The 26,525-nt window shown below is 50.5% G+C and overlaps 1 protein-coding gene and 1 long non-coding RNA gene across 2 annotated transcripts, besides 10 other annotated features; one reads left to right on the top strand and one right to left on the bottom strand.

The window, feature by feature from the left end:
- Nucleotides 2,357–2,416: an enhancer, noted in NCBI's record as "active region_17434". NCBI's record gives its function as "activates an Ori minimal core promoter by ATAC-STARR-seq in GM12878 lymphoblastoid cells {active_cell/tissue: GM12878}" and the evidence as "EXISTENCE:reporter gene assay evidence [ECO:0000049][PMID:35858748]".
- Nucleotides 3,166–3,245: an enhancer, noted in NCBI's record as "active region_17435". NCBI's record gives its function as "activates an Ori minimal core promoter by ATAC-STARR-seq in GM12878 lymphoblastoid cells {active_cell/tissue: GM12878}" and the evidence as "EXISTENCE:reporter gene assay evidence [ECO:0000049][PMID:35858748]".
- Nucleotides 12,364–17,929, bottom strand: NRSN2-AS1 (NRSN2 antisense RNA 1). The gene is made up of 3 exons (NR_109990.1): nucleotides 17,819–17,929; nucleotides 15,055–15,242; nucleotides 12,364–13,458 (listed from the first exon to the last, which is right to left on the bottom strand). It is a non-coding gene; the product is annotated as an NRSN2 antisense RNA 1 (long non-coding RNA).
- Nucleotides 17,099–17,358: a silencer, noted in NCBI's record as "silent region_12562". NCBI's record gives its function as "represses an Ori minimal core promoter by ATAC-STARR-seq in GM12878 lymphoblastoid cells {active_cell/tissue: GM12878}" and the evidence as "EXISTENCE:reporter gene assay evidence [ECO:0000049][PMID:35858748]".
- Nucleotides 17,919–18,228: a silencer, noted in NCBI's record as "silent region_12563". NCBI's record gives its function as "represses an Ori minimal core promoter by ATAC-STARR-seq in GM12878 lymphoblastoid cells {active_cell/tissue: GM12878}" and the evidence as "EXISTENCE:reporter gene assay evidence [ECO:0000049][PMID:35858748]".
- SOX12 (SRY-box transcription factor 12) lies at nucleotides 18,229–22,901 on the top strand. The gene has a single exon (NM_006943.4). The coding sequence runs from the start codon at nucleotides 18,602–18,604 to the stop codon at nucleotides 19,547–19,549; it is 948 nt and encodes a 315-aa protein (NP_008874.2). The 5' UTR covers nucleotides 18,229–18,601; the 3' UTR covers nucleotides 19,550–22,901.
- Nucleotides 18,339–18,718: a silencer, noted in NCBI's record as "silent region_12564". NCBI's record gives its function as "represses an Ori minimal core promoter by ATAC-STARR-seq in GM12878 lymphoblastoid cells {active_cell/tissue: GM12878}" and the evidence as "EXISTENCE:reporter gene assay evidence [ECO:0000049][PMID:35858748]".
- Nucleotides 18,789–18,848: a silencer, noted in NCBI's record as "silent region_12565". NCBI's record gives its function as "represses an Ori minimal core promoter by ATAC-STARR-seq in GM12878 lymphoblastoid cells {active_cell/tissue: GM12878}" and the evidence as "EXISTENCE:reporter gene assay evidence [ECO:0000049][PMID:35858748]".
- Nucleotides 18,869–19,358: a silencer, noted in NCBI's record as "silent region_12566". NCBI's record gives its function as "represses an Ori minimal core promoter by ATAC-STARR-seq in GM12878 lymphoblastoid cells {active_cell/tissue: GM12878}" and the evidence as "EXISTENCE:reporter gene assay evidence [ECO:0000049][PMID:35858748]".
- Nucleotides 19,719–19,788: a silencer, noted in NCBI's record as "silent region_12567". NCBI's record gives its function as "represses an Ori minimal core promoter by ATAC-STARR-seq in GM12878 lymphoblastoid cells {active_cell/tissue: GM12878}" and the evidence as "EXISTENCE:reporter gene assay evidence [ECO:0000049][PMID:35858748]".
- Nucleotides 19,829–20,118: a silencer, noted in NCBI's record as "silent region_12568". NCBI's record gives its function as "represses an Ori minimal core promoter by ATAC-STARR-seq in GM12878 lymphoblastoid cells {active_cell/tissue: GM12878}" and the evidence as "EXISTENCE:reporter gene assay evidence [ECO:0000049][PMID:35858748]".
- Nucleotides 23,302–23,596: an enhancer, noted in NCBI's record as "identical tiled regions #7859 and #9812; K562 Activating DNase unmatched - State 25:Art". NCBI's record gives its function as "activates a minimal TATA promoter and a strong SV40 promoter by Sharpr-MPRA in K562 cells {active_cell/tissue: K562}" and the evidence as "EXISTENCE:reporter gene assay evidence [ECO:0000049][PMID:27701403]".

Genomic DNA, 26,525 nt, shown 5'->3' on the forward strand with positions numbered 1-26,525 from the left:
TATTTTTGTACAAATATGTAACACTGGAAGGATATTAATGAAATTCGTAATTTGTAACTTTGGAGAACTGGATATTTGGGGTTTGGGATAAAAGGAAAGTTTATTTTCCACTGTGTATCCCTGCTTTTAAAAAAATATTTCATCTATTATCTCTAACAACAACAAAAACAACTTTTAACAACAAAAATAAATGCAAAACACAAGACTTCAACGAAATTCCTATAGACTTTAGAGAGACAGGAGTCCATCTCCTCTATCTTTAAAAGTAAAGGCCGGGCTTAGTGGCTCATGCCTGTAATTCCAACACTTTGGGAAGCCAAGGCAGGAGGACTGCTTGAGCCCAGGAGTTTGAGGCCAGCTGAGGCAACACAGGGATATCCTGTCTCTACAAAAAAAAAACAAATCGTTGGGTGTGGTGGTACATGCCTGTGGTCCCAGCTACTTGGGAGGCTGAAACAGGAGGATCACTTGAGGTTGAGGCTGCAGTGAGCCGTGATGGCACCACTGCACTCCAGCCTGGGCCGCAGAGTGAGACCCTGTCTCTAAAAATAAAATAAAATAAAATAAAAATAAAAAATAAGAACTTTGATGGAAGAGTTTAAGAAATTCTATAGCAGACAACACATTGGTCTCCCTGCTTCCAGGCTCCCTCTCCTTCCAACCATGGAATCCACCCCAAAACAAAACTTGATCACATTTCTCCCCCGCTTAAAGAACTTCAAAGATTTTGCGTCCTCCCTGGTGTTCACCAGGGCCTGCCTGACCAGCCCTGCCTCCTCTGGGCCTCCTCTCTTGTCGGGCCTCCCCCTCTTACCCTGGCTTGGCTTCCCCTTCTGCTCCAGCTGGTCATTCCTGGAAGCAGATCTCTTCCTCCCCTACCCATGGTTAATCCTTACCTGCCTGGGGCACTCAGCTCTAATGCTGCTTCCTAACTAGAGCCTACCCTAACATCCTGTATCAGACCCTCTTACACCGTCCGTTACCTCCCTGGCCTCTCCTTCAGCAGTTACTCGGGTGCAATGATATACTTATTTGTGCCATGGTTTGATTGATATCTGCCTCTGCCTCTCCACTTTGAGCTCCCTGAGGGCAGGAACCAGTCTCTTTTGGCTCACGGTTATAGCTTGAGCAATTAGCACTATGCCTGGCACAGAGTAAAGCCTAATAAATATTTATTGCATGCATGATCTAGAATCACTTGGCTGAGGTTACAGATTAAGACACGTGTCTACTTGTCCTTCTTTAATATACTTAACATACCTTAGCACTCTGTCATTGACACATACTGAACAAGGGCTTATTCATTCATCTTTTAAAAGCTAACTCACTCTTTTAGTTTTCCCACCTTTGATAAGGGAGGATAGGACCTGGGAGGTCAGGCCCTCGGTTTACTAGCTCATCCTCCTCTATTTCTCTGAGAGCATAAAATCACTGGAAGTCAGCCAGCATGCCCCATGGCACTGTGAGGCACAGGGGAGAAGCACCAGGCTCCTGGATTCTGAATGCGTGGCTTTGAAGCCTGGCAAGAGTGGCCCCTTCCCTGAGTCCCCCACCACCCCTCCCCTTGGGGCGAGGATTCTGCAGGCATGAGAAGTGCCCACCCAGAGTCTGTGCCTATGCCTTCTAGAACACGCTCTGATACCCGATAATTCCCTTCCAAAATGTCACTAAGTTAATTCACAGGGCTCTTTGTGGGCCTCATCCCTGGCTTCATCTCACCTGAGGGCAAACTATACTGCCTGATGCACATCTTATAGACCTGAGCCTTGGGCCTCAAGATAGCTGTTTGCAGGTGACAGCTAGGTGTTGACCCATGCATGCTAGCTCCATCACTGATGGGATGAGAGGTAGCTGGATAAGGGATGGATACAGGTTCCAGGGGACAGGTCTCCTTGGGCCTACACATTCTGGCACATAACTCCAAGGGTCTTAGAATTCTAATTTGAACATGGCCTTCCAGGTTGTTAGAGGATATATCCATCAAGGAAGAAAACAGAACATATTTCATTTAACACTTGCTGGACTGTTGTATAATTTCTAACTATAGAGACATATGGTATATGGGCCTCCAACTCTACTCTTGTTCTGAGCCCCACAAATGCCCATTTGGTTCTGTCATTTCTTTGCATAGACAAGCTACATAACCTCTCTGAACTTCAGTTTCCTGAGCAGGAAAATGGGTCTATGGTAATAACTACATTATCAGGGCTGGTGAGAAAATGAAATAAAATAATCCATGTCAAGGGCTTGAGAAGAATGCCCTCTGGCTGTCGTCTCCTATGACTTCCTGTATGATCTCCAAACTGCTCTCTTTGCAGGGTTTCAACACGGCTGCTCCCTCCTGCCTCCTTACCCACAGCCAATAACCTCCCCATTCTCTCCACCTAGTCAAATCCCACCGTCTTCAATTGTGATAATAGCTGGTTGATTGCACGTTTACTACGTTTCAGGCATTGTATTAAGAACTTTCCATGCATTAACTCAGTTCTGACACCAACTCGATGAAGCAGGCACTGTTTATTATTCCCCAAACACAAAGACACAGGGATCTGGAGACTGGAAGCACTGGCGGCTGCAAGTGGCAGGGCTGGCGGGGTGTGAAGCCGGAGAGGAGTCTTTCTGCAGTCAGGCCTCCCAAATCCCGGGATGGAATCAAGGAGCCTTTGGCTGTCCCACCCCTCCTCCTCCAAGCCCCCAAATCCAAGTCTGTTATATCCCGTCAGCTCTGCGGGCCTGCCTGTGACTTTCAGCCCAAGGGGGCGGGCACTTCGTGTCACGCCACGTTGTCCACATCATCGACCCTCCCTCCCCTTCTCCCCTTCCTTCCTTCCCTCCCTCTCTTCCTCCCATTGAGTGCCAGTTCTGTGCCAAGCTTTGCTGTTCAAAATGTTACGAGTGGAGAAGTCAGGGAAGGATGGAATTATAGGTGTTTCTTCTTCATACCTTTCTGTTTGGCTGATTTTTTTTCAAATGAGCACGCAGGCCCGGTTCCTCAAACCCACTTCCAATGTGGCATTGCTGGGTTGGTTTGGTCCAAGGAAAGCCCTGTCTCCTTAACTCCCAGCCCCCACGCCTCCTCCGCCGGCCCCCAAATCCAGGCCGCCCTGCCCCCTCCGGAAAGGGGAGTTGGGGGCGAGCGCCGAAATCTGAGTGGCTCTTTCAAGCCTCCGTTGCCATAGAAACCGGCCGCACAGGCCGATGCTGTCCATTACACCATCCTCTAGCCTCGCAGCCAATGGACTCCGAGCTCCATCGCCAGAGGCCCCGCCCCCCAGCTCTGGGGAGTCCACCAATCAGCAGGTCCCGTGACTTAGAGCCCTGCCCTCGGCCCAGGGACACCACCAATGCGCTTCGACCCTGCCCTCCTTCTCTTCGGTGTAACAAGAAGACTCGATATTTTTTTTTTTTTTTTTAGGAATTCTCCAGATCAGAAGGAATTGGCAGTAAGGCCTCTGTCAGCTGCACCCTGAATAATCTTTGGCTGCTATTTTATTTAAGGAGAGCAAAACTGTTTCAATTACGCAACAATATATACCATTCTCTACTAAAACAATTTTAGGAAATGAAAATGTAGGCAATGGGATGATATAGTCTGCTCTATATGAATGTCTTTCATTATAGGTATTTTAATTTAACTTAAAATGATCAAGGAACTAGTCATCTTTCCTTTGTATTTCAAATGCATACAAAATTAAAGATACCGAGTTTTTTGATGCAGAGTTCATGAGACATTGACTTAATTAGTTGGTAGGCAACTTTTACTGAACCATCTAATTCCTGGTTCAGAACATTACAACTGGAGGATAAATGAATATTTCTCTTAATCCATGGAAGAAATTCTGTTTTTGAGGCGGGCTGCGTAAATGGCTCTGACACTCTGGAGTCTAAATAAACCAAATGTGTTTTTAAAACCCGTTTGCCATTACAAAAAAAAAACTTCAATTTTTTAGAACACTTTTAGATTTACAGAAAAATTGTGAATATAAAGTTCCCGTCTACCCCAGCCACCCACCCTGTTTCTTTCATTATTATTATTATTATTGAGACAGGGTCCCGCTCTTTCACCCAGGCTGGAGTGCAGTGGCGCGATCTCGGCTCACTGCAACCTCCGCCTCCCAGGCTCAGGCGATCCTCCCACCTCAGCCTCCCAAGTAGCAGAGACTACAGGGGCATGCCACCAAGCCCAGCTGATTTTTGCATTTTTCATAGAGATGAAGTCTCGCCATGTTGCTCAGGCTGGTGTTTCTGCTATTAACATCACATATGGTATTGCAGACGCATGGTATATTTGTTCCAATTAATAAACCAATAATGATACATTATTTATTAATTAGAGTTCACAGTTTATTCAGATTTCCTTCGTTTTTACCCAACGTTCTTTTTCTACTCCATCTTTTTCTACTCCAGGATCCATCCAGCATGCCTCATCGCACTAGCTGTCGTGTCTCTCTGGGCTCCTCTTGGCTGGGGCGGTTTCTCACATAGCAACATGACATCACTGTTGGTGCTGCGTCAGGTTTCTCTACTGGAAAGTCAGTCTTCTTTTGCCCCTTTTCATACTGTACTCTTTGGAAGGAAGTCACTATGCTCGGGCCACACTTAAGTGAGGAGTTATGCTCTATCTCCTTAAGGTTGGAATAGCTACATAGATTATTTGGGATTTTTCTACACTGAAGATTTGTCTCATTTATTCAGTAATTTATTTATATCAGTATGGATTCACAGATAATTATTTAATACTTTAGGTTATAATCCAATACTATTTGATTTTGTTGCTCAAGTTGTTCCAGCTTTGGCTTTTGGGAGCTCTTTCGGTTGGCTCCCGTCTCCCTTTGACACACCCCTATTTTTGTGGGGTTTTCTCGTTGCCGTCAAGCACTTCCTTACTTTCTGGCACTACAAGATGCCTCAGGCTCATCTTTCGTATTTCCTGCCCCAGTCCTCAAATCAGCCATTTCGCAAGAGCTTTGATTGTTTCGGAGAAGGGTATTTATTAGAAACCAAGAACTGGGCGCTAGGTGCACTCATTGCTACTAGGGTGTCATTTATTTCCTTCCTCCCTCCCTCCCTCCCTCCCTTCCTTTTTGAGACAGAGTCTCACTCCATCACCCACACTGGAGTGCACACTCATGGCTACAGCCACGTAGCCATGGTAATGAAGCCATAACCTCACGAAGCTTCCAGTTTACACAATTAGAGGGTTAATTACCAAGTTGCCCAGCACTCTGCAGTGTGCTGTGTAGGCAATGCGGGGGTAAATTATCTGAAGAGAATTTAAAGACAATAAAAACTGCAGCCTAGACCTCCTGGGCTCAAGTGATCCTCCCTCCTTAGCCTCCTGAGTAGCTAGGACCACAGGTGTGTGCCACCACACTCAGCTAATTTTAATTTTCAATTTTTTTTTTTGTAGAGATAAGGTCTTGCCATGTTGCCCAGACTGATACAACTCCCGGCCTCAAGCCATCCTCCTGCCTTGGCCTCCCAAAGTGTTGGGATTACAGGCGTGAGCCACCACACCTGGCCTTGGGGTATCATTTCTTTTAAGCCTTCTCAACTGACAGAACAAAGAAATATATCTGTATATACCAATGTGTATATATATACACACATATCTATATTTCCATTTGTAACCATCTGTATATATATTAAGCTAAACATGAGTTCCTGTTTATATTTACCACTTGAATCCAGGGATCATTTGGCTTGCTTCCTGCTTGCTTATCTCTAAATTCCCACTCCAATAACGGGAAACCTGGTTCCCATCATCCACATCCACCATCCATTTACTTAATTGTTCAAGTCCAGTATACATGTGTAGGATTATCAAAATTGTTAACCCATACCCCTGTGGGAAACTTTATCAAGTAGAGTACATTCTTCTGAACACTTTCTTTTGCCTTTAGTGTTCCAGCAGACTCCACTTGTTTCTTTTTTCTTTTTCTTTTTTTTTTTTTTTTGAGACAGAGCCTCACTCTGTTGCCCAGGTTGGAGTGCTGGAGTGCAGCGGGGCCATCACAGCTCACAGCAGCCTTGACTTCCCAGTCTTAAGTGATCCTCCTGCCTCAGCCTCCCAAGTAGCTGGGACTACAGGCATGCGCCACTACACCCATCTAATTTTTTAAAATTTTTGTAGAGATGGGATCTCACTATGTTGCCTAGGCTTGTCTCCAACTCCTGGGCTCCAGTGATCCTCCCGCCTCAGCCTCCCAAAGTCCTGGGATTAAAGGCATGAGCCACCACGCCTGGCCCACTCATTTCTAAAGTTACTTAGGTCAGCACGTTTTCCTCTATCCTCTTCATGAGGTCATTTCACACATTTGTAATACGGTGAAGATGTTTGTCATATTCTGCATGACATTTTGGAATTATCTAAATGTCCTAAGTGATTTTTTTAACTTTGCATGCATTAAGGTTCACTTTTTGTGCTATTAAGTTTAATGGATATCAACCAATGCACAGTCATATACCCACATTTCTTCACCCTAAAAAACCCCCTGTGCTCACTTATTGAACCCTCTCCCCGCCAAACACTGGCAACCACACATCCGTTTACTGTATCTATGGTTTTGCCTTTTTGTGCCATTATTAAAAAAAAGAAAGACGCACAATATTTTTGTTGTTGCTCTTGTCACAGCTGCCACCCATTGAATCCTTACTATGTCCCAGGTCCAGAATTACACTGTCCCATTTTGAAGATGAGGAAACAGATGCAAATGAGTTGAAGTACTCCCTAGAGACTCATAACAATAAGCAAAGTTTGACTTCTATGATTAACTTCTGAGTCACCTCTGGGAATATTTGTAATATGTCTAATAGCCACACTTCTTTTGTTTGTTTTGATACAGGGGTCTTGCTGTTGCCTAGGCTGGAGTACAGTGGCTACTCACAGGTGCAATCATAGGGCACTACAGCCTTGAACTCCTGGGCTCAAGCAATCCTCCTGCCTCAACCTCAAAAGTGGCTGGGACTACAATGTGTGCCACTGTGCCCAGCTATATTAGCCACATTTCAAGTACTCAATAGCCGCTGTGCAGTTTATACTATTATATTGGTTTCTGAGTTTTGTTTTTGAGACTGCGTCTTGCTCTGTCACCAGGCTGGAGTGCAATGGCACAATCTCGGCTCACTGCAACCTCCACCACCTGGGTTCAAGCGATTCTCCTGCCTCAGCCTCCCAAATAGCTGAGACTACAGGTACGTATCACCAAGACCAGCTAACTTTTGTATTTTTAGTAGAGACATGGTTTCACCATGTTGGCCAGGATGGTCTCGATCTCTTGACCTCGTGATCTGCCCGCCTCGGCCTCCCAAAGTGTTGGGATTACAGGTGTGAGCCACCGTGCCTAGCTATATTGTTTTTTAAAAGATCTCTTATTATTTAGTGAAAAGAAAGGACCTGTAGTCTCAGTTACTCAGGAGGCTGAGGTGGGAAGATCATTTGAGCCCCAGAGTTTGAGGTAGCAGTGAGCTATGATGATGCCACTGCACTCCAGCCTGGGCAACAGAGGGAGATGCCATCTCACACACATACAAAAGAAAAGAGACCTTGTAATGCACACACTATCATAATCTCTGATTTTTCTTTTTTTTTTTTTTTTTTTGAGACACTGTCTTGCTCTGTTGCCCAGGCTGGAGTGCAGTGGGGTGATCACTGCTCACTGCAGCCTCAACCTCCTGGGCTCAAGTGATCCTCCCACCTCAGCCTCCCCAGTGGTTGGGACCACAAATGTGCACCACCACAACTGGTAAATTTTTTATTTATTGTAGAGATGTGGGTCTCAATATTTTGCCCAGGCTGGTCTCAAACTCCTAGGCTCAAGCTAGCCTCCCAAAGTGCTGGGATTATAGGTATGAGCCACTGGCTTTTTTTGTTTGTTTGTTTGTTTTTGTTTTTGATATGGAGTTTTGCTCTTGTTGCCCAGGCTGGAGTGCAATGGCGCTATCTTGGCTCACTGCAACCTCTGCCTCCCAGGTTCAAGTAATTCTCCTCCCTCAGCCTTCTGAGTAGCTGGGATTACAGGCATGCGCCAACACCTCCAGTTAATTTTGTATTTTTAGTAGAGACGGGGTTTCTCCATGTTGGTCAGACTGGTCTCAAACTCCTGACCGCAGGTGATCTGCCTGCCTCAGCCTCCAAAAGTGCTGGGATTACAGGTGCGAGCCACTGCCCCTGGCCTGACTTTTTTAAAATCAGGAAATTTAGATGAATCAAAAAAGAAATTACCTTGTCCCTATTGTTCTCTTCTCATTATGAATGTCTTTGAGGACCATGCCAGTTGGCAAATAGGTATTTTGGAGCTAGACACAGTTAGGGTGAGTGGAGTAACACGACAGTACCTACAACAGCCACACCCACACCTGAGTTGGCTTCATCCTGCCTTCAGGTATCATTAAGAATAGGTATTATTATTATTATTATTATTATTATTATTTTGAGACCGAGTCTCACTCTGTCGCCCAGGCTGGAGTGCAGTGGCACAATCTCCGCTCATTGCAACCTCTGCCTCCCAGGTTCAAGCGATTCTCCTGCCTCAGCCTTCTGGGACTACAGGCCCGTGCCACCACGCCCGGCTAATTTTTTGTATTTTTAGTAGAGATGGGTTTCATCGTGTTAGCCAGGATGGTTTCCATCTCCTGACCTCATGATCCTCCTGCCTCAGCCTTCCAAAGTGCTGGGATTACAGATGTGAGCCACCACACCTGGCCATATATATATTTTTTTCTTTGAGACAGTTCCACTCTGTCACCCAGGCTGGAGTGCAGTGGTGTGATCATGGCTCACTGCAGCCTGGAACTCCCAGGCTCAAGAGATCCTCCTGACTCAGTCTCCCAAGTAACTAGGACTATAGGCACACACCACCAGGCCCAGTTAATTTTTCTATTTTTAGAGACGGGGTCTCACTATGTTGCCCAGACTCGTCTCGAACTCCTGGGCTCAAGCAATCCTTCCAACCTCTACTTCCCAAAGTGTTGGGATTGTAGGCATGAGACACCACATCTGGCCTATAATGGAATATTATTTGGCAATAAAAAGGAAGTTCTGATACATGCTACAACATAGATGAACCTAGAAATCATGATGCTAAGTGAAAGAAGCCAGGCACAAAAGGCCACATGTTGTATGATTCTCTTTACATGAACTGTCCAGAAGAGACAAATCCATGGATACAGAAGCAGATTAATGGTGGCCTAGGGCTGGGGATTAGAGGGAAGGCAGAGCAGATGGGAGAGTGACTGCTAATGAGTACTGATGCTAATGGTTTCTTTTGGGGATGATGAAAATAGTCTAAAATCCATTGTGGCAACAGTTACACAACTCTGTGAATGCACTGAAAGCCACTGAATTGTAAACTATAAATGACTGAATAGTGTGGTATGTGAATTACATCTCAACAAAGCTGTTTTTTTTTTTTTTTAATGTTCTGGAAGAATCAGGATAGACATTACCTCAGGTGAAGGAAGGCAGGAGATGGGATGGTAAAGGAATTCATTGGGGAAAACAGGTTATCAATGTTCCAGTTCTTGTGTCAGATTGCTGACTCCACAGATTTTTATTATGTTATGTAAAAATAAATACACACAGGGCCAGGCATGGTGGCTCACACCTGTATCCCAGCACTTTGGGAGGCTGTGGTGGGAAAATCGCTTGAGCCCAGGAGTTCAAGACCAGCCTAGGAAACATAGTGAGAACCTGCCTCTACAAAAAAAATTTTTCGAAATTAGCCAGCCATGGTGGCATGCATCTGTAGTCCTAACTACTTGGGAGGCTGAGGCAGGAGGATCACTTGGGCCCAGAAGTTCCAGGATGCAGTGAGCTATGATCGCACCACTGTACTCCAGCCCAGGCAACAGAGCAAGACCAGGTCTCTAAAAAAAACCCACACAAGCATAAAGTGAGGGAATCACAGGCAACAATGAGAATGTGTCGCAGATGAAGCGATTCTGTATACCTGAGACAGAGGGAGATGAACGGGAAACGGCAGAGAGTGGTCAGGACAGTCCTCTCTGGGGAGCCCGTTTGAGCCGAAGCTAGGATGAGTAGATGCTCCAGCCCATGTGGGGATGGGGGTGAAAAGAGTTCCAGACAAAGGAGACAGCATGAATGAGGGCCCTGAGGTAGGCCCAAGCCTGTTGTGTTTGGGGGACAGCCAGTTTAAATGTCTGTTCTGTTATATTGTGGAGTCTCTGTGTATGAATTTTTCCTAAAGAAATAACAGACAGGCCGGGTGCAGTGGCTCACGCCTGTCATCCCAGCACTTCGGGAGGCTGAGGCAGGCAGATCATGAGGTCAGGAGATCGAGACCATCCTGGCCAACATGGTGAAACCCCATCTCTATTAAAAATACAGGTCGGGCACGGTGGCTCACGCCTGTAATCCCAGCACTTTGGGAGGCCAAGGCAGGCAGATCACAAGGTGAGGAGATCGAGACCATCCTGGCTAACACGGTGAAAACCCAGCTCTACTAAAAATACAAAAAAAAAAAAATTAGCCGGGCATGGTGGCGGGCGCCTGTAGTCCCAGCTACTCGGGAGGCTGAGACAGGAGAATGGTGTGAACCCGGGAGGCAGAGCTTGCAGTGAGCCGACATCAAGCCACTGCACTCCAGCCTGGGTGACAAAGCGAGAATCCGTCTCAAAAAAAAATAAAAATTAGCTGGGTGTGGTAGCGCACACTTGTAATCCCAGCTACTCAGGAGGCTGAGGAAAGAGAATCGCTTGAACCCAGGAGGTGGAGATTACAGTGAGCCAAGATTGCGCCACTGCACTCCAGCCTGGCGACAGAGCGAGACTCCATCTCTAAATAAATAAGTGGCCAAAAACATACATACAAAGGTGTTCACTGCCATATTGTTTATAATAGCAAAAAGGGGTAAAACAATCAAAATGTCTTTCAAGAAGGAACTGATTCACTTTGGGAGGCCGAGGTGGGCAGATCACCTGAGGTCAGGAGTTCGAGACCAGCCTGACCAACATGGTGAAACCCCATCTCTAATAAGAACACAAAATTAGCCAGGCGTGGTGATGCACGCCTGTAATTCCAGCTACTTGGAAGGCTGAGGCAGCAGAGTCATTTGAACCCAGGAGGCAGAGTTTGCAGTAATCCGAGATCACGCCATTGCACTCCAGCCCAGGCAAAAAGAGTGAAACTCCGTCTCTAAAAAAAAAAGAACTGATTAAATGAATTACAATATACTCGGCAGACCTGGACGAGAACCTACGCACTACATGGAAAGAGAAAAGAGATGTGAAAAAAGCAGGTTACTAGAAATTACATATAGTAACATTCCACTTGTGTAAAAAAAACTATGTGTGCATGTGATTATAAGCATTTAAGTTTCTGGATGGCCAGGTGAAGTGGCTCATGCCTGTAATCCCAGCACTTTGGGAGGCCAAGGTGGGCAGACCGCTTAAGCCCAGGAATTTGAGACCAGCTCGGGCAACGTGGCAAAACTCAGTCTCTATAAAAAATACAAAAAATTAGCCCTGTGTGGTGGTACGCGTCTGTAGTCCCAGCTACCTGGGACACTGACGTGGGAAGATCACTTGAGCCCAAGAGGTTGAGGCTGCAGTGAGCTGTGATTGCGCCACTGCACCCCATCCTGGGTGACAGGGAGAGACCTTGTCGAAAAAAAAAAAAGGCCGGGCACGGTGGCTCACGCTTATAATCCCAGCACTTTAGGAGGCCAAGGCGGGCAGATCACAAGGTCAGGAGTTCCAGACCAGCCTGGCCGATATGGCGAAACCCCGTCTCTATTAAAAATACAAAAATTAGTCGGGCGCAGTGGTGGGCGGCTGTAGTCCCAGCTACTTGGGAGGCTGAGGCAGGAGAATCGCTTGAACGTGGGAGGCAGAGGTTGCGGTGAGCCAGGATCGCGTCACTGCACTCCAGCCTGGGCAACAGAGTGAGACTCCGTCCCGTCTCAAAAAAAAAAAATTCTGGAAAATTACATTAAAATTTAAAATTTACTCATTATAATGCCATTTTTCTAGATTACAGGAGACGTTCACTTTTCGCCTTATATAATTCAGTATAAGGCCGGGCGCAGTGGCTCATGCCTGTAATCCCAAAACTTTGGGAGGCCGAGGCGGGCGGATCACTTGAGGTCAGGAATTCGAGGCCAGCCTGACCAACATGGCGAAACTCCGTCTCTACTAAAAATACAAAAATTAGCCAGGCGTGGTGGCACGCACCTGTAGTTCCAGCTACTCAGGAGGCTGAGGCAGGAGAATCGCTTGAACCTGGGAGGAGGAAGTTGCAGTGAGCTGAGATCACGCCACTGCACTCCAGCCTGGTGACAGAGCGAGACTCCACACACACACACACACACACACACACACACACACAAACACAAACACCATATATATACATATATAACTTTTGTAATAATAAAAAACATACTTCTACTTAAAGAGAATATCAATAAGCCCTAAAGTTTTTCATAGTGAAAGCCCTTCAAAATTGCTTGACAAATAAATTCTAAGTATACTAACTATGGGAAAAATGTATGCTTGCGAAGACTTTGTTAGACACATTTTCTTAAATGCTGAAGCTATAATTTAAAAATGAAGATTTCAGGAGACAAAATAAAGTCAGCTGGATAAAAAATGTGCAGAGAGAAAAAATATACCAAAATGTTAAGAGTGAGTGTCTCGGCCGGGCGCAGTGGCTCATGCCTGTAATCCCGGCACTTTGGGAGGCTGATGCGGGCGGATCACGGGGTCAAGAGTTTGAGATCAGCCGGCCAACATAGTGAAACCCCGTCTCTACTAAAAATACAAAAATTAGCCGGGCATGGTGATGCATGCCTGTAGTCCCAGCCACTTGGGAGGCTTAGGGAGGAGAATCACTTGAACCCGGGAGGCAGAGGTTGTGGTGAGCTGAGATCGTGCCACTGCCCTTCAGCCTGGGCAACAGAGCAGGACTCTGTCTCAAAAAAAAAAAAAGAGTGGGTGTCTCTTGGCACTGAGACAATGAATCCCAACAAATTCCCAACAAATGATATTTTTTCCTTAAATTTCAGAATTTTTGAAGTTTTACACAATGAATATTTTGTGATCTGAAAATTTTTTCTTCCCCTCCTCTTCCAATTCAACAGCTGAATAATAATCTTGTGTTCATTGTCTGCTACTGCTTAAGACATTCTTTCCAGACTTAGAGGCTTAACAAAGCAAACAGCTACCATCTCACAGTTTCTGTGGGTCATGAATCCACGCAGAGTTTAGTTGCATGGTTCTGGCTCAGGGTCATTCACGAGGTTGCAGTTGAGATGCTGGTCAGGGCTGCAGTCATCTGAAGACTTGACTGGGGCTGGAGGATCTGATTCCAGGATGGATCGATCACTCAGATGGCTGTTGGAAGTAGGTCTCAGTTCCTTGTTGGTGTTGGCAGGAGGCTTCAGTTTCTCACCACGTAGAGCTTTCCACAGGGCTGCTTGAGTGCCCTCGCATGACAGCTGACTTCTCCCAGAATAAATGATACAAAATAAGACAGCCAGGAGGAAAACATAGAGCTTTCTATGTCCAATCTTAGATATCACAAACCATCACTTCTGCCATATTCTATTAGTTAGAGGCAAGTTCACACTTAACTGGGAAGGGGAGGAGGAATTAGGCTCTTCCTTTTGAAGGAAGGAACATTAAAGAATTTGTGAAGGGCCGGGCGCAGTGGCTCATGCCTGTAATCCCAGCACTTTGGGAGGCTGAGGGGGGCGGATCATGAGGTCAGGAGATTGAGACCATCCTGGCTAAAACGGTGAAACCCTGTCTCTACTAAAAAAATACAACAAAAATTAGCAGGGCGTGGTGGCAGGCGCCTGTAGTCCCAGCTACTGGGGAGGCTGAGGCAGGAGAATGGCGTGAACCCGGGAGGCGGAGCTTGCAGTGAGCCGAGATGGCGCCACCGCACTCCAGCCTGGGTGACAGAGCAAGACTCCATCTCAAAAAGAAAAAAAAAAAAAGAATTTGTGAACATGTTTTTGAAACACAAGAAAATTTCCAGCTGATCTTTCCCCCCAAATTTCCCTCCTCCAATCCAACTACAACACATGAAACTCCTTAATCTTGCTGAAGCGTACCTCTGATCATGTCATCCTGCAATAAAAAAACTGTCCCTGGCTCCCCACAACCCAGGGAACTCCATAACTTGGCTTCTGAGGACCAACTACCGTATTGCCCTTCAGCTCCAGCTCAACATAAACGCATCGTATTCCTCATGTACACTCCCCCATCTCTGGTCTTGGCACCTATCCATGCCCTCTCAATACCTCGTCCCAGTCTCCTTCCCATCTCCAGTCCCTTGCACTTGCTGTTTCCTCTGCCTGGAATGTTTTACATGGATGGTTCTTCGTCATCTTGAGATCTAAACTCTCCCCCATCTCTATCATCCCCCGTCCCAGTCACTCACTCTCTCATTACCTTGTTTTCTTTTCATTGTCGTTTGAGACAGGGTCTCACTCTGTCCCACAGGCTGGGGTGCAGTGGTACGATCACAGCTCACTGCAGCCTCAACTTCCCGGGCTCAAACGATCTTCCTGCCTCAGCCTCCCAAGTAGCTAGGACTAAAGGCACAGGCCATCACACCTGGCTGTTTTGTATTTTTTGTAGAGACAGGCTTTTGCCATGTTGCCTAGGCTGGTCTTGAACTTCTAGGCTCAAGCATCTGCCCACCTCAGCCTCTCAAAGCGCTGGGATTTCAGATGTGAGCCACCTTGCCCAGCCCCTCCCTCCCTTCTTTCCATCACCCAGTCTGGGGTGCAGTGGCACCATCATAGCTCACTACAGCCTCAAAATCTCTGGCTTAAGCGTTTTCCCACCTCAGCCTCCCCAGAAGCTGAGATGACAGGTGCTTGCTACCATGCCCGGCTAATTTTTGAATTTTTGTGGAGGTGGGATTTCTCTATGTTACCCAGGCTGGTCTGAAACTCCTGGGCTCAAGCGATTCTCCCGCCTTGGCATCCCAAAGTGCAGGGATTACAGGCGTGAACCACCACACCCAGCCCAGCTTTATTTTCTTTATAGCAGTCACAACTATCTGAAATTATCTTATTTGTTTACCTGCTCTTTTCTGTTGCCCTCACTTGCTCCTTAAGAACAGGGACCTCTGTCTTGGTCACTGCTGTAACCCAGTAGCCCCAGTTCCAAGTTCACTGCCTGGTGCACAGTAGGTGGCCAATAAATTGTTGAATTAAATGTCCTCTCTTCCAGGGAGTTGTTTTAGAAAGAATCACACACTGCATAAATGTCTGTTGAGGAAGAAAATGAAAAAAACAAAAGTGAAGACATTATCTTCTCGGCTGAACTTCCCACACCATCTTCTCTGTCATTAATAAGTCCTGGTGTCTACACTGGGGAAGGCAGTCCAAGGTTCTTCCAGGGCCTAGGTTCAGCCAGACTTTAACCATCTCTAGCTCCTCAGAGTCCGTCAAAGGGCCTAAGGAATGGTAAGTATTAATAATGTTTGTTTATGTATTTATTTATTTATTTATTTTGAGATAAAGTCTCTGTCTCCCAGGCCGGAGTGCAGAGGTACAATCATTACAACTTCCACCTTTCCGGCTCAAGCAATCCTCCTGCCTCAGCCTGCCAAGTAGCTAGGACTACAGGCAGGCACCACCCTGCCCAGCTAATTTTTGTACTTTTTTTTGTAGAGTAAGGGTTTCACCATGTTGCCCAGGCTGGTCTTGAACTCCTGGCCTTAAGTGATCTGCCTGCCTCAGCCTCCCAAAGTGCTAAGACTACAGCTGTGAACCACTGTGCAGGGTCAAATGTTTATTAATGGATGCATGCATGGATGGAAGAAGGAAAGGAGGCAGGTGTGAATAATGAATGCAGCATTTTCACTGCTGAGAATAAAGAGTGAAATCCTGGTCCAAATCAGTTTGGCAGTGAGTAAGGTTAGGAACTATTCACATACATTGGAATAATAATAGCAGCAGCAGCTACAGGGTCAGAGACAGATCTTTGAGAGGCCATAAGCATTGAAAAGATTGTGGTACCTATCACACACCGTCTAAAATAAAACAAATATTTTATTTATGGGAAAAGTGTTAAGGTGTTGATAATTCCAAGAAAGCTTTTATTTGTCCTACAATCATTACTTTGATACCTTTTCTGAAATCCTAGAGCTGTCCCCACTCTGCCCATTTTTTTTTCTCATTATGGTGATGTCTCTGGGTTGCTGGTGACCTGCGTAACTATTGGGAAATCTAGTTTCTCAAAACTTTTAGTTTTTTTTTAGACAGGGTCTCACTCTGTCACTCAGGCTGGAGTGCAGCGGCTCACTGCAACATCCGCCTCCTAGGTTCAAGCGATTCTCATACCTCAGTCTCCTGAGTAGCTGGGATTACAGGTACGCGTCACCAAGCCTGACTCATTATTTTGTACTTTTAGTAGAGACAAGGTTTCACCATATCGGCCAGGCGGATCTCGAACTTCTGACCTCAAATGATCCGCCCGCCTTGGCTTCCCAAAGTGCTGGGATTACAGGTGTGAGCCACCGCGTCCCGTCTATCATAAGTTTTATTGAACATTGCCTAGGTATCAGGATGTGTTTACATGCATTATCTCATTTAATCTGTAAAACCACCATGTGAGGGAGAAACTGAATTATCCCCATTTTCAGGATAAGGAAAAGGAGGGACTGGGAATGTGAACTCAGGAAGTGTGACTCCATCGGGTAGACTGCTCAGGCTGCAGATGTAAAGGTTTTACACGTAGGCTTTTCCAGATCTCAGCTTCTGAAAGGCGGAGGGACCGTTTGGACGGGAGCAGGGCCTCCTCTTCCAAGCACCCTGTGCCTTTAAGAGTCGCCCCCTCCCTCCAGGGATGCTCCAATTTCTTTCTCCCCACCACCCCCACCCCGCCCCCCGCGCCGCGGAGCCGCACCTCGGTCCTTCCTCCCCGCCCCACACCCTCAAGCTCGGCTCTTGGCCTTCGCTCGTCCAGAAGTGGGTGAGCTGTACCGCCAGAGGCGCATTCTCCTAGCCCCAAACCATGCCCGCTACGCCCCAGCGGAATGCCACCTTAAAGACCCTAATCCGGGCACCTCCCAGCTCCTGCTTCCCAAGGGCGAGGCCTCAGCGCCCCCTCCCATCGCCCATGCTCACGACGCCGTGAAGGTGACCTCCCCCAGGGGCGGCACACGCCCAGTGGTGCCCGAACTGGCTCACACGTGGTGAGCCGGGAGCGCGCGGCCCCTCCCCGCCACGCGCCTCGTGCCGGCCACCCGGCCACGCCCCCAGGACTGGCTCCGCCCCGTGCCCCTGCACGCTTCTCCAGGCTTGGGTGGGGCGACGCGCCCAAGTCGGGCACCGGGCAGGCTACGGGGTGGGGTAGGACCTGGGAATGGCGCACCCACGCATCCTCGAATGTCGCCTGCGGTTTGTGAAAAGCGGGAAGTCCGCCCAGCTCAGGACCTTTGGCTGGCAGGCGAGGTGCCCCGCGGCCCTTGGTGCTGAGCAGGGGAGAGACAGCTGGGACCGCGAGCCTGGGAATCGAATCCTAGTCTGCGTGTCCTCGGTGCTTCCTATTTGGAAACTGGGCATCATATTATCATATTCCCTTCTCCCTCCGGATTCTTATGGAGCTTCGAACGAGATTAAATATACATATATATGAGAAAGGGATTTGTTCACTAGGTCCAAAAGCATTTGCTGGTCCCATATGTGGTCGGACCCTGTGTGTAGTAGGCGGGGGGCAACATCTACGACAACCTGAGTTCGTCCCCTTAAGAAGCTTTCCTGAGTCTTGGGCCCCCCAAATTCTCTTCTGGGATGGTCCGAAAAGACGTCCCTGAAAGAGGAAAGGGCGGAAATCCTACCTGACGGCAGGTGTCTCGGAATGAGCTAAAATTTAAAAGGCAACGCGGGGCAGGGACAAGCGTCCAGCGTCAGATGGAAGCAGGCTCGCGTCCCCTACCCTTCCTCCAACCCCTAACCTAAGAAAAGAAACCGATCTCGCCGGTCTCCCCCAATCCTAGCCGCGAGACCGCCCAGCCCCGCAGCCCGAGCCCCGCCCCGCTCCGGCGGCCAGCGATTGGGAGATGCAAATACCGGCTTCTCTGCCCAGCAACGGGTGACGCGGCGCCCGAGCGCGAGGCGGGGCCCGGCCGCAGCCCAAGCGGGCACCTCGGTGTTTACACGGGGCGGCCCCGCGCGCGCCGCAGCGGCCCGCAGACGGCGAGGGGGAGGGGTGGTGCGCGCGCCGGCGGGGCCGCGCGGGGAGAAAGACACTGAAAGGCGTCGGCGGCCGGGCGGGGAGCGGCGCGCGCGGGCCGCGGCGGAGCCAGAGGCTGCAGGAAGAGCCCGCGGGGGCCCGGAGGGTGCGATTCCTCGGCCCCCGCAAAACAATGTGTGTTGTGAGCCAGGACGCAACTTGCCGGAGGCGGCGGGGGCGCGCCGAGCCCGCCTGAGACCGCGCTGACCTTCTCCCCCCGCCGTCCGTTGGGCCCGAGCGCCCAGCTCCTCGCTCCCCAGTTCGCGGGGGCCGGGCCGAGCCGCGGGGCGGGGCCGCCCCTCCGTCGCCGCTGCCTCCTCCCCCACCCCCAGCCGCGGAGGATGCGGACGGCCCCCGGCGGCGTCTAGCGGCCCCGGGCCCAGGCGCGATGGTGCAGCAGCGGGGCGCGAGGGCCAAGCGGGACGGCGGGCCGCCGCCCCCGGGACCCGGGCCGGCCGAGGAGGGGGCGCGCGAGCCCGGCTGGTGCAAGACCCCGAGCGGCCACATCAAGAGGCCGATGAACGCATTCATGGTGTGGTCGCAGCACGAACGGCGGAAGATCATGGACCAGTGGCCCGACATGCACAACGCCGAGATCTCCAAGCGCCTGGGCCGCCGCTGGCAGCTGCTGCAGGACTCGGAGAAGATCCCGTTCGTGCGGGAGGCGGAGCGGCTGCGGCTCAAGCACATGGCGGATTACCCGGACTACAAGTACCGGCCGCGCAAAAAGAGCAAGGGGGCGCCCGCCAAGGCGCGGCCCCGCCCCCCCGGTGGTAGCGGTGGCGGCAGCCGGCTCAAGCCCGGGCCGCAGCTGCCTGGCCGCGGGGGCCGCCGAGCAGCGGGAGGGCCTTTGGGGGGCGGGGCGGCGGCGCCCGAGGACGACGATGAAGACGACGACGAGGAGCTGCTGGAAGTGCGCCTGGTCGAGACCCCGGGGCGGGAGCTGTGGAGGATGGTCCCGGCGGGACGGGCCGCTCGGGGACAAGCGGAGCGCGCCCAAGGGCCGTCGGGCGAGGGGGCGGCCGCCGCCGCCGCCGCCTCCCCGACACCGTCGGAGGACGAGGAGCCGGAGGAAGAGGAGGAGGAGGCGGCAGCGGCTGAGGAAGGTGAAGAGGAGACGGTGGCGTCGGGGGAGGAGTCGCTGGGCTTTCTGTCCAGGCTGCCCCCTGGCCCGGCCGGCCTGGACTGCAGCGCCCTGGATCGCGACCCGGACCTGCAGCCTCCCTCGGGCACGTCGCACTTCGAGTTCCCGGACTACTGCACCCCCGAGGTTACCGAGATGATCGCGGGGGACTGGCGCCCGTCTAGCATCGCAGACCTGGTTTTCACCTACTGAGCCCACCGTCAGCGGGGCGCGCACGCCCCCAAACCAGCTGTTTACATACAGGAATCAGGTATTGGGGCCCCTCGGAGGCCGAGGCTGGCACCCCATCTCCCGCGCAGCCTGCCCCCTCCTGGACGTGCCCATCCCCCCTCAGATCCAGACATGCCCCTCCCCCGCAGACACACCCCAAGGCAGCCCAACCCCCACCCCTTCCCCGACACCCAAGCCCCTCCCCACGTCGCCCCCTCCTGCACAGCCACCAGCAGCCAGCCCCCTCCGATACACCTCCCGTCCTCTCCTACAGACCTGCACCCCTCCCCCCTTTTGCACACGCCCCTCCTCGTGGCCGGAGGACCCGCCCCCTCCTTTGCTCCGGAATCTCTCCTCCCTCGCCCGGCCCGCCTTCTCTGGGTTAGGGGGGCGATGCGGCCGGGTGGCAACGCACGCGCCTCCTGCGCCCCTCCCTTCCCTGGGGGGAGGGGCGCACCCCTTTTATCCCCGGAGCGCTAGGGCCCGCCCCTCCGCTGGGGCCCACCCCCTTCGTGCGCATGCTTAATGCTTCTGGGGAGGAGGGGGCTGGTCCCAGCGGAGCCGCACTCTTCGCCCGCTCCGGGCAAAAGCGGGGGCGAGTGTAGAGCGATCCTGGGAAATCCTTTGATCCGGGAGCCCTAGGTTTCCTCTCCAGCCAACGGGGCGTCGCTGCCTTAATGGGAGGAGCACTCGGAAGGGTTGGTTTGGGCCTGAAACTCTCCCAAGTGGCATAGCCCCTTTTCCGGTATGGGGTCTCCTACACCCACGCGCACCACCTCTCCGGTCGCGTGGCTGCCTCTACAGCCTACCTATACGTCCCTTTTTCCCCCCAACTGGGAATTGAGAGGTAAGGTCTTTCTCTGGAAATCCAGCAGTAGAGGAAGGGACCACCCAAGAAAACTAAAAACCAAGGCACCTTACCAGTCTGTCTGGGGACAGGATCCCTGCTGCACCTTCCCCACCCCCTCCTGGGAAGTGCCCCCTCACCTCAGGGCACCCGCAACCTGGGCTCCTCCCTGAGCGCACCGGCCCTTCCTGTCACCCAGGTCCACCCTCAGTACTCAAGCTGCAGTATACAGCGGGAAAAACTGAGGCACTTTGGTGCTAGGGGTTTGGGACTGAGGCGTGGAGAGCAGATGTGATGGCAGGAAGACTCTCGCTTTTAAACATCTGGTTTGGGAGAGACCATCGACTTGGCCAGTGAGACTGAGAATGGATTCCGAGTAGTGATGGGCCGTTTGCACCTCGGTTTTTCCACGTGAGAAATGGGGAGAACGCTGCTGTTAGGAGGAAGTTGTGTCCAGTTCAGGGTGCCCTCGGGAGCCCTGTCCCTGTTGCTGTGGCCCCTCTCACGCCGCCATCTCTCTGCCCCGCCCCGCCCCTCCGGCCTCCCCACACCCCCCTTGCCCTCACTACCTGTATCTCACCGGCGTGTGTTCACCCTCCCGGGTGGCTCACACACTCTCATTCACACACACAAATCTCAGGAACAAACGGTCCCAGAGTCCTCCGGACCCCTGCCCAGGGTCTCTGCAGGTCTCTGCCCCACGCGTTCCCGTCGCTGACAAAGCCACCAGCTGCCTCCTTTAAGCTTGGTGCTCCGGCTCTGGGCCTTTCTTGCGCTCTATTTTTTTTTTTTTTTTTTTTAAGAAAAACAACAACAACAAAAAAAGACAATGAAAAAAAAAACGTCATGTGAGTGAAGAGATGTCACTGTCTGTGGTCTTGGAGAACTAGTCTCGTAGCTGAGGGGTGGGGTCCCTCTGTCTGGGGCACTGGCACCCACAGCAGGACTCCGCCAGTCTGATGCCAGGACTGAATAAAGTGTATTTGCCCCGACCTTGCCCTGTGGTTCTGCATGTCTGTGCTCTTCCTCAACCCTCCCTAAACAGTTTGCCAGATTCAAGTCCGTGTGATTTGGGCCCGAGCTGGGTGTCCCAGGGCAAGCCACCTTGCCTGTCTAGGCCTCTATGTCAGGACTCCCTGGCCTTCATGAAGAATAGCAAACTCATCCCTGTAGGGACCAGGCAGGTAACATAGACGAGTGACTCTGGGTGGACAGTGGTGTCATGACCCACTTCAAGGGGCCTACCTCCTGCCAGTTGTGACCCTGTGGGAATGCAGTCCACAGTGGCCAGGTGGCCAGATTTTTCAAGAAAAGCTGGATGGATGTTTCTGAGTCATCTTAATTTCAAAATGAGACTCATATTTTAAAATTTCTGTGGGCCAAATGAAACAAGTATGCAGGCAGGTCTGGTCCGAGGGGGCTGGCTTGGCCATGCCTTTCTGTGCCTTTAATGAGGACTAAGAAGCAAGATTGGGCCACACTGTCTGGACTCAAAGCCCAGCTCCACCACTGAGCACCCGTGTGACTCTTTCCATATGTATAACGTGGGGATAATAATAATAGCTGCTTCACAGGATGAAATGAAGTTTGAGGTGAGAAGCATTCACCATGGTGCCCATCGTGTTACTCCATTGTCAGAGGAGGAAACGGGGTCAGGCAGGAAAGCAACTTAAAGGAGGGCCTGCAAGCAGCCAGGGTCAGAGACAGGGCTTGGTTCTGCTTCCTGGTGAAGCATGGCTTCGGGGTGCTGCCTCTCCCTCCCTGTTTGAATCTGCAGATTGTGTTAGGCCCCCAGCTGAGGGCCTGGAGTGGTGGGATTGGTCCCAGTGCCTGGCGCACATTGGCCTGCAGAGTAGATTAACTGAATGACCAAAGAGCAACAGAAGTCTAGTGATTCTTGTCTTTGAGGTTCTGACTGGTGTTTTACAACTGAGTCCAAGGCTTTTCCCTCCTTTGTCCCTCTGACACCCCTCCCCCTAATTCTCATCTGTCAGATCCAGTGTATTCCTAAGCTGGGACAAAGCCTCTGTTTTCCCAGTAGGAGCCAGGGCTGAGTGTGGAAATTACAGTGACTGCTTCTTCTCAGCTTCTCTGGTTGAAAGCAAGCTGGCGAAGTAAGAGGAGGTAGAGTTGAGAAGGTGTGGAAGATAGGGACAGCTGCCCCCAGAACTCCCTTCAAGGGAGGACTTCCCCAGCTATGGGAAGTGCCATCAGGGTGGCCGCAGCTGCAGAGAGCCACTTCACCTGAGACCACGCCCTTCCTGGGGCAGCCTGTATCTGGTGTCTGAGTGAGGCATGGTATAAACACCTGGTCATTTCAATCCAACATGGGACGGACACTGACAGACAGTACTCCCAGCAGGCCCAGGCCAGCCAGGGCTTCGTCAGGCCTGCAGCACAATTTGACTTCCTATGCCCAGGCCTGCTTCCTCTTCTTCCTCTTCTTTTCACAGGTGCTTATTCCTAATAAACATCTTGCAACCCAAACTCAGTCTCATTGTCTGTTTCTAGAGAAACCCAGTCTACAACAGAGGGTTCAAGAGACTGGACAAAGGGAATTGGGTCAGTGGCCCAGCAACTGCAGCTAGGCCGGTCGGATGTATCCTAATGTCAAGAGTCTGTTCACCGATGCCATCAGCACCAAACTAGGGGCTGCACACTTTCCTAGTCTGCACACCAGTCACGTCAATTAGAGACTCCAGCCTCAGCCCGAAGGCCTTCCAGGGCCCCCTGCTGATGCCATTCTCACTGCCAGTCCGTCCCCTGGTAAAAGCAGGTGGGAGGGAGGTCGTCATCTGAGTTTGTCTTACAGAATAGCCTGGAATGGGGTGCACGGTAAAATGCCTGACCGGAGATAATGCTAGAGCTGTGGAACCTTGGGCAAGCCTCTTCCCCTTTGTGGGCTGTACTGGGAGTCGGTAATAGGACTAGAAGAGGGACCATCTCATTTTGGTTCCTTCCATTTCAGATGCTGACCTGAAAGGTCGGGGAGACAGCTCCTTATGGGGTCTCTGGGGCCACCTAGTGGCTAAGAGGAGTAGAACCAAGGTTCTGTGCAGTTGGGAGGTGGGAGTCGGGGTGTGTCCCAGGCCAAGGAACTGAGTCCCACTCGAGTCTCACTCCATTCATGCATTGACTCATTGCTGGGTCATGCCCCTTGCCTGGGTGGTGTGAGCCACCCTGCTTCCAAGGCTTTCAAAACACCATACGCTGATGTATTGTTTCTCATCTATTGCTGCGTAACAAATTGCCACAAGCTTAGCAGTGTAAAACAACATGCATTTGTTATTTCAGTCTCCATGCATCAGGAGTCCAGCATGCCTTAGCTGGGTCTCTGCTCAGGATCTCACAAGGCAGCAGCTGGGGTGCTGGTGGCCCGCATTCCTTCTTGGAGCTCAGCAGCCTTTTCCAAGCTCTCACGGTAGTGGGCAGAATTCAGTTCTTTGTGCTTATAGGACAGAGATCCCTGTTCTATTGCTGGCTGTCAGTTAGTACCACTCTTGATTACTACAAGCTGCTCAGTTTCTTGCCACATGGCCCCCACAGGGCCTCCCCAGCCTTCTCACAATATTGCAACTTATTTTGTCAAGGCCAGAGGAGAATTTTTCTGCTGCTTGGAGTCACTTGGCTCAGGGAAGGTTTAAGCTCTCTTTTAAAAGCCTCTCCTGGCTGGGCATGGTGTGTTCATGCCTGTAATCCCAGCACTTTGGGAGGCCAAGGTGGGTGGATCACCTGAGGTCAGCAGTTCGAGACCAGCCTGGCCAAATGGTGAAACCCCTTCTCTACTAAAAATACAAAAATTAGCCTGGCGTGGTGGCAGTCGCCTGTAATCCCAGCTACTTGGGAGGCTGAGGCAGGAGAATCACTCGAACCTGGGAGGCGGAGGTTGCAGTGAGCCAAGACCAAGCCACTGCACTTCAGCCTGGGCGACAGAGCAAGACTCTGTCTCAAAAAAAAAAAAAGAAAAAAAAGGAAAAAGAGAGAGAGAAAAAAAAAGCCTTCCCTAATTAGGTCAGACTCACCCAGGAAAATCTCCTTTTTGATTAGGCATCAACTAATGTGGGATTTTATATCTGCAAAAAATCCCTTCACCTTTGCAGTATATTGTAGCCTTATAAGAGTGACAGCTGTCATACTAGATTTGCCCACACTCAAAAGGGAGGAGGCTGTCTAGGGCAGCTACACCAGAGACTGGGAATCTTGGGGGCCATCTTAGAATTCTGCTTATCACACACCTGTAATCCCAGCACTTCGGGAGGCCAAGGTGGGAGGATTTCTTGAGTCCAGGAGTTCAAGACCAACCTGGCCAACATAGCAAGACCTAATCTCTAGTAAAGTTTTTTTTAAAAAAATTAGCCAGGCACGGTGGTACACACCTGTAGTCTCAGCTACTTGGGAAGCTGAAGTATCATAGCTGAGAATTCTCAGGTCTACATCTCCATCCCAGACATGACTAGACTAGCTGCCTTCTTGTCATCTCCACTGATATATCTAATTGGCACCTCAAACTGGACATGCCAAAAAATGAACTGTTTCCACAGTGCTCCCAAGCCTGCTTCCACAGACCACATCTGCACAGCTGATGTGAAATGAAAGGCTAAAGCCTCTCAGTTATCCTTGATGCCTCTTTTCCTCCCAGCGCCATCTCCCTTATACCCTGTTGGCTCTACCTTCAAAATATGCCCTGTGTCTTGTCACTTCTCACATCTTCCATGGCCTCTGGGTCCAGGATATAAGGGCATACGAAGGGCTCCTTGCGTTTTCCTTTGCCCCACTCATAGTCTTATTGTCCACACAGCAGCCGGAGTGATCTGGTTAAACTGTAAATCCCAGCACACCCTGCCACTGTTCAAAATTCTCCAAAGACTCTCATTCAGTAGAAGCCAGAGTCCTCAGCATGGCCTGCAAAGCCCCATAAGAAGTAGCCTGTGGCTCAGCCTCGGCTTCATCTTCTACTTTTTCTGTTTCTCACATGCCCAGTCACACTGGTCTTGCTGTTCCTCAAAAGTGCCAATCACACTTCCGCCTGAAGGCTTTTGCACATGCTTTTCCCTCTGCTTAAGATACCCTTCCTCCGGCTGGGCGAGGTGGCTCACGCTTCTAATCCTAGCACTTTGGGAGGTCCAGGTGGGTGGATCACCTGAAGTCAGGAGTTCGAGACCAGCCTGGCCAACATGGCGAAACCCCTTCTCTACTAAAAATACAAAATTAGCTGGGCGTGGTGACACATGCCTGCAGTCCCAGTTACTCAGGAGGCTGAGACAGGAGAATCACTTGAATCCAGGAAGCAGAGGCTGCAGTGAGCTGAGATCGCATCACTGCACTCCAGCCTGGGCAAGACAAAGCGAGACTTCACCTCAAAAAACAAACAAAAAAATACCCTTCCTCCAGATAGCCACATGTCTTACTTCCTTCAGGTCTCAGCTCCCAGGGCGCCCTAGAGTAGGCACAGGGAGTACCTCACAGTGTCCTCCCTGACCATCCATATAAAGTAACATCCTCCATAAACTATCCTGTTACTTTGCTTTATTTTTCTGAATAGCATTTATCACTATCTGGCATTTATCACCTGTAGTTTTTACTTTTTGTCTCTCTCTCTCTAATTTGTATGTAAGCTTCATAAGGAAGGAATGACTCTGGACTGGACTCCATGCCTCAGCACATTCACCCACCCATTCAACAAACATTCTTAAGGGTCTAGGCTGGGCATGGTGGCTCATGCCTGTAATCCCAGCACTATGGGAGGCCGAGGTGGGAGGATCACTTGAAGCCAGGAGTTTGAGACCAGCCTGGGCAAGGAAACAAGACCCTGCCTCTAAAAAATACAATTTAAAAAAGTATCCAGGCACAGTGGCGTGAGCCTATAGTCCCAGCTACTCGGGAGGCTGAGCTGGGAAGATCTCTTGTGCCCAGGAGTTCAAGGCTGCAGTGAGCCATGGTCATGCCACTACACTCCAGCCTGGGTGACAGAGTTAGACCCTGCCTGTAAAAAAAAAAAGGTGGGGGGCAGGGTGGGGAAGGTTTGCCTTGACCAGGCCGCGTGCTAGGTGCCGGGCATACAAAAGTGAAAAACGTGATTTGTCCTCAGTGAGCTCACAGGTCTGAGGAGAC

The sequence above is a fragment of the Homo sapiens genome, chromosome 20, assembly GCF_000001405.40.
Source record: "Homo sapiens chromosome 20, GRCh38.p14 Primary Assembly".
In the NCBI taxonomy this organism is placed as follows: domain Eukaryota; kingdom Metazoa; phylum Chordata; class Mammalia; order Primates; family Hominidae; genus Homo; species Homo sapiens.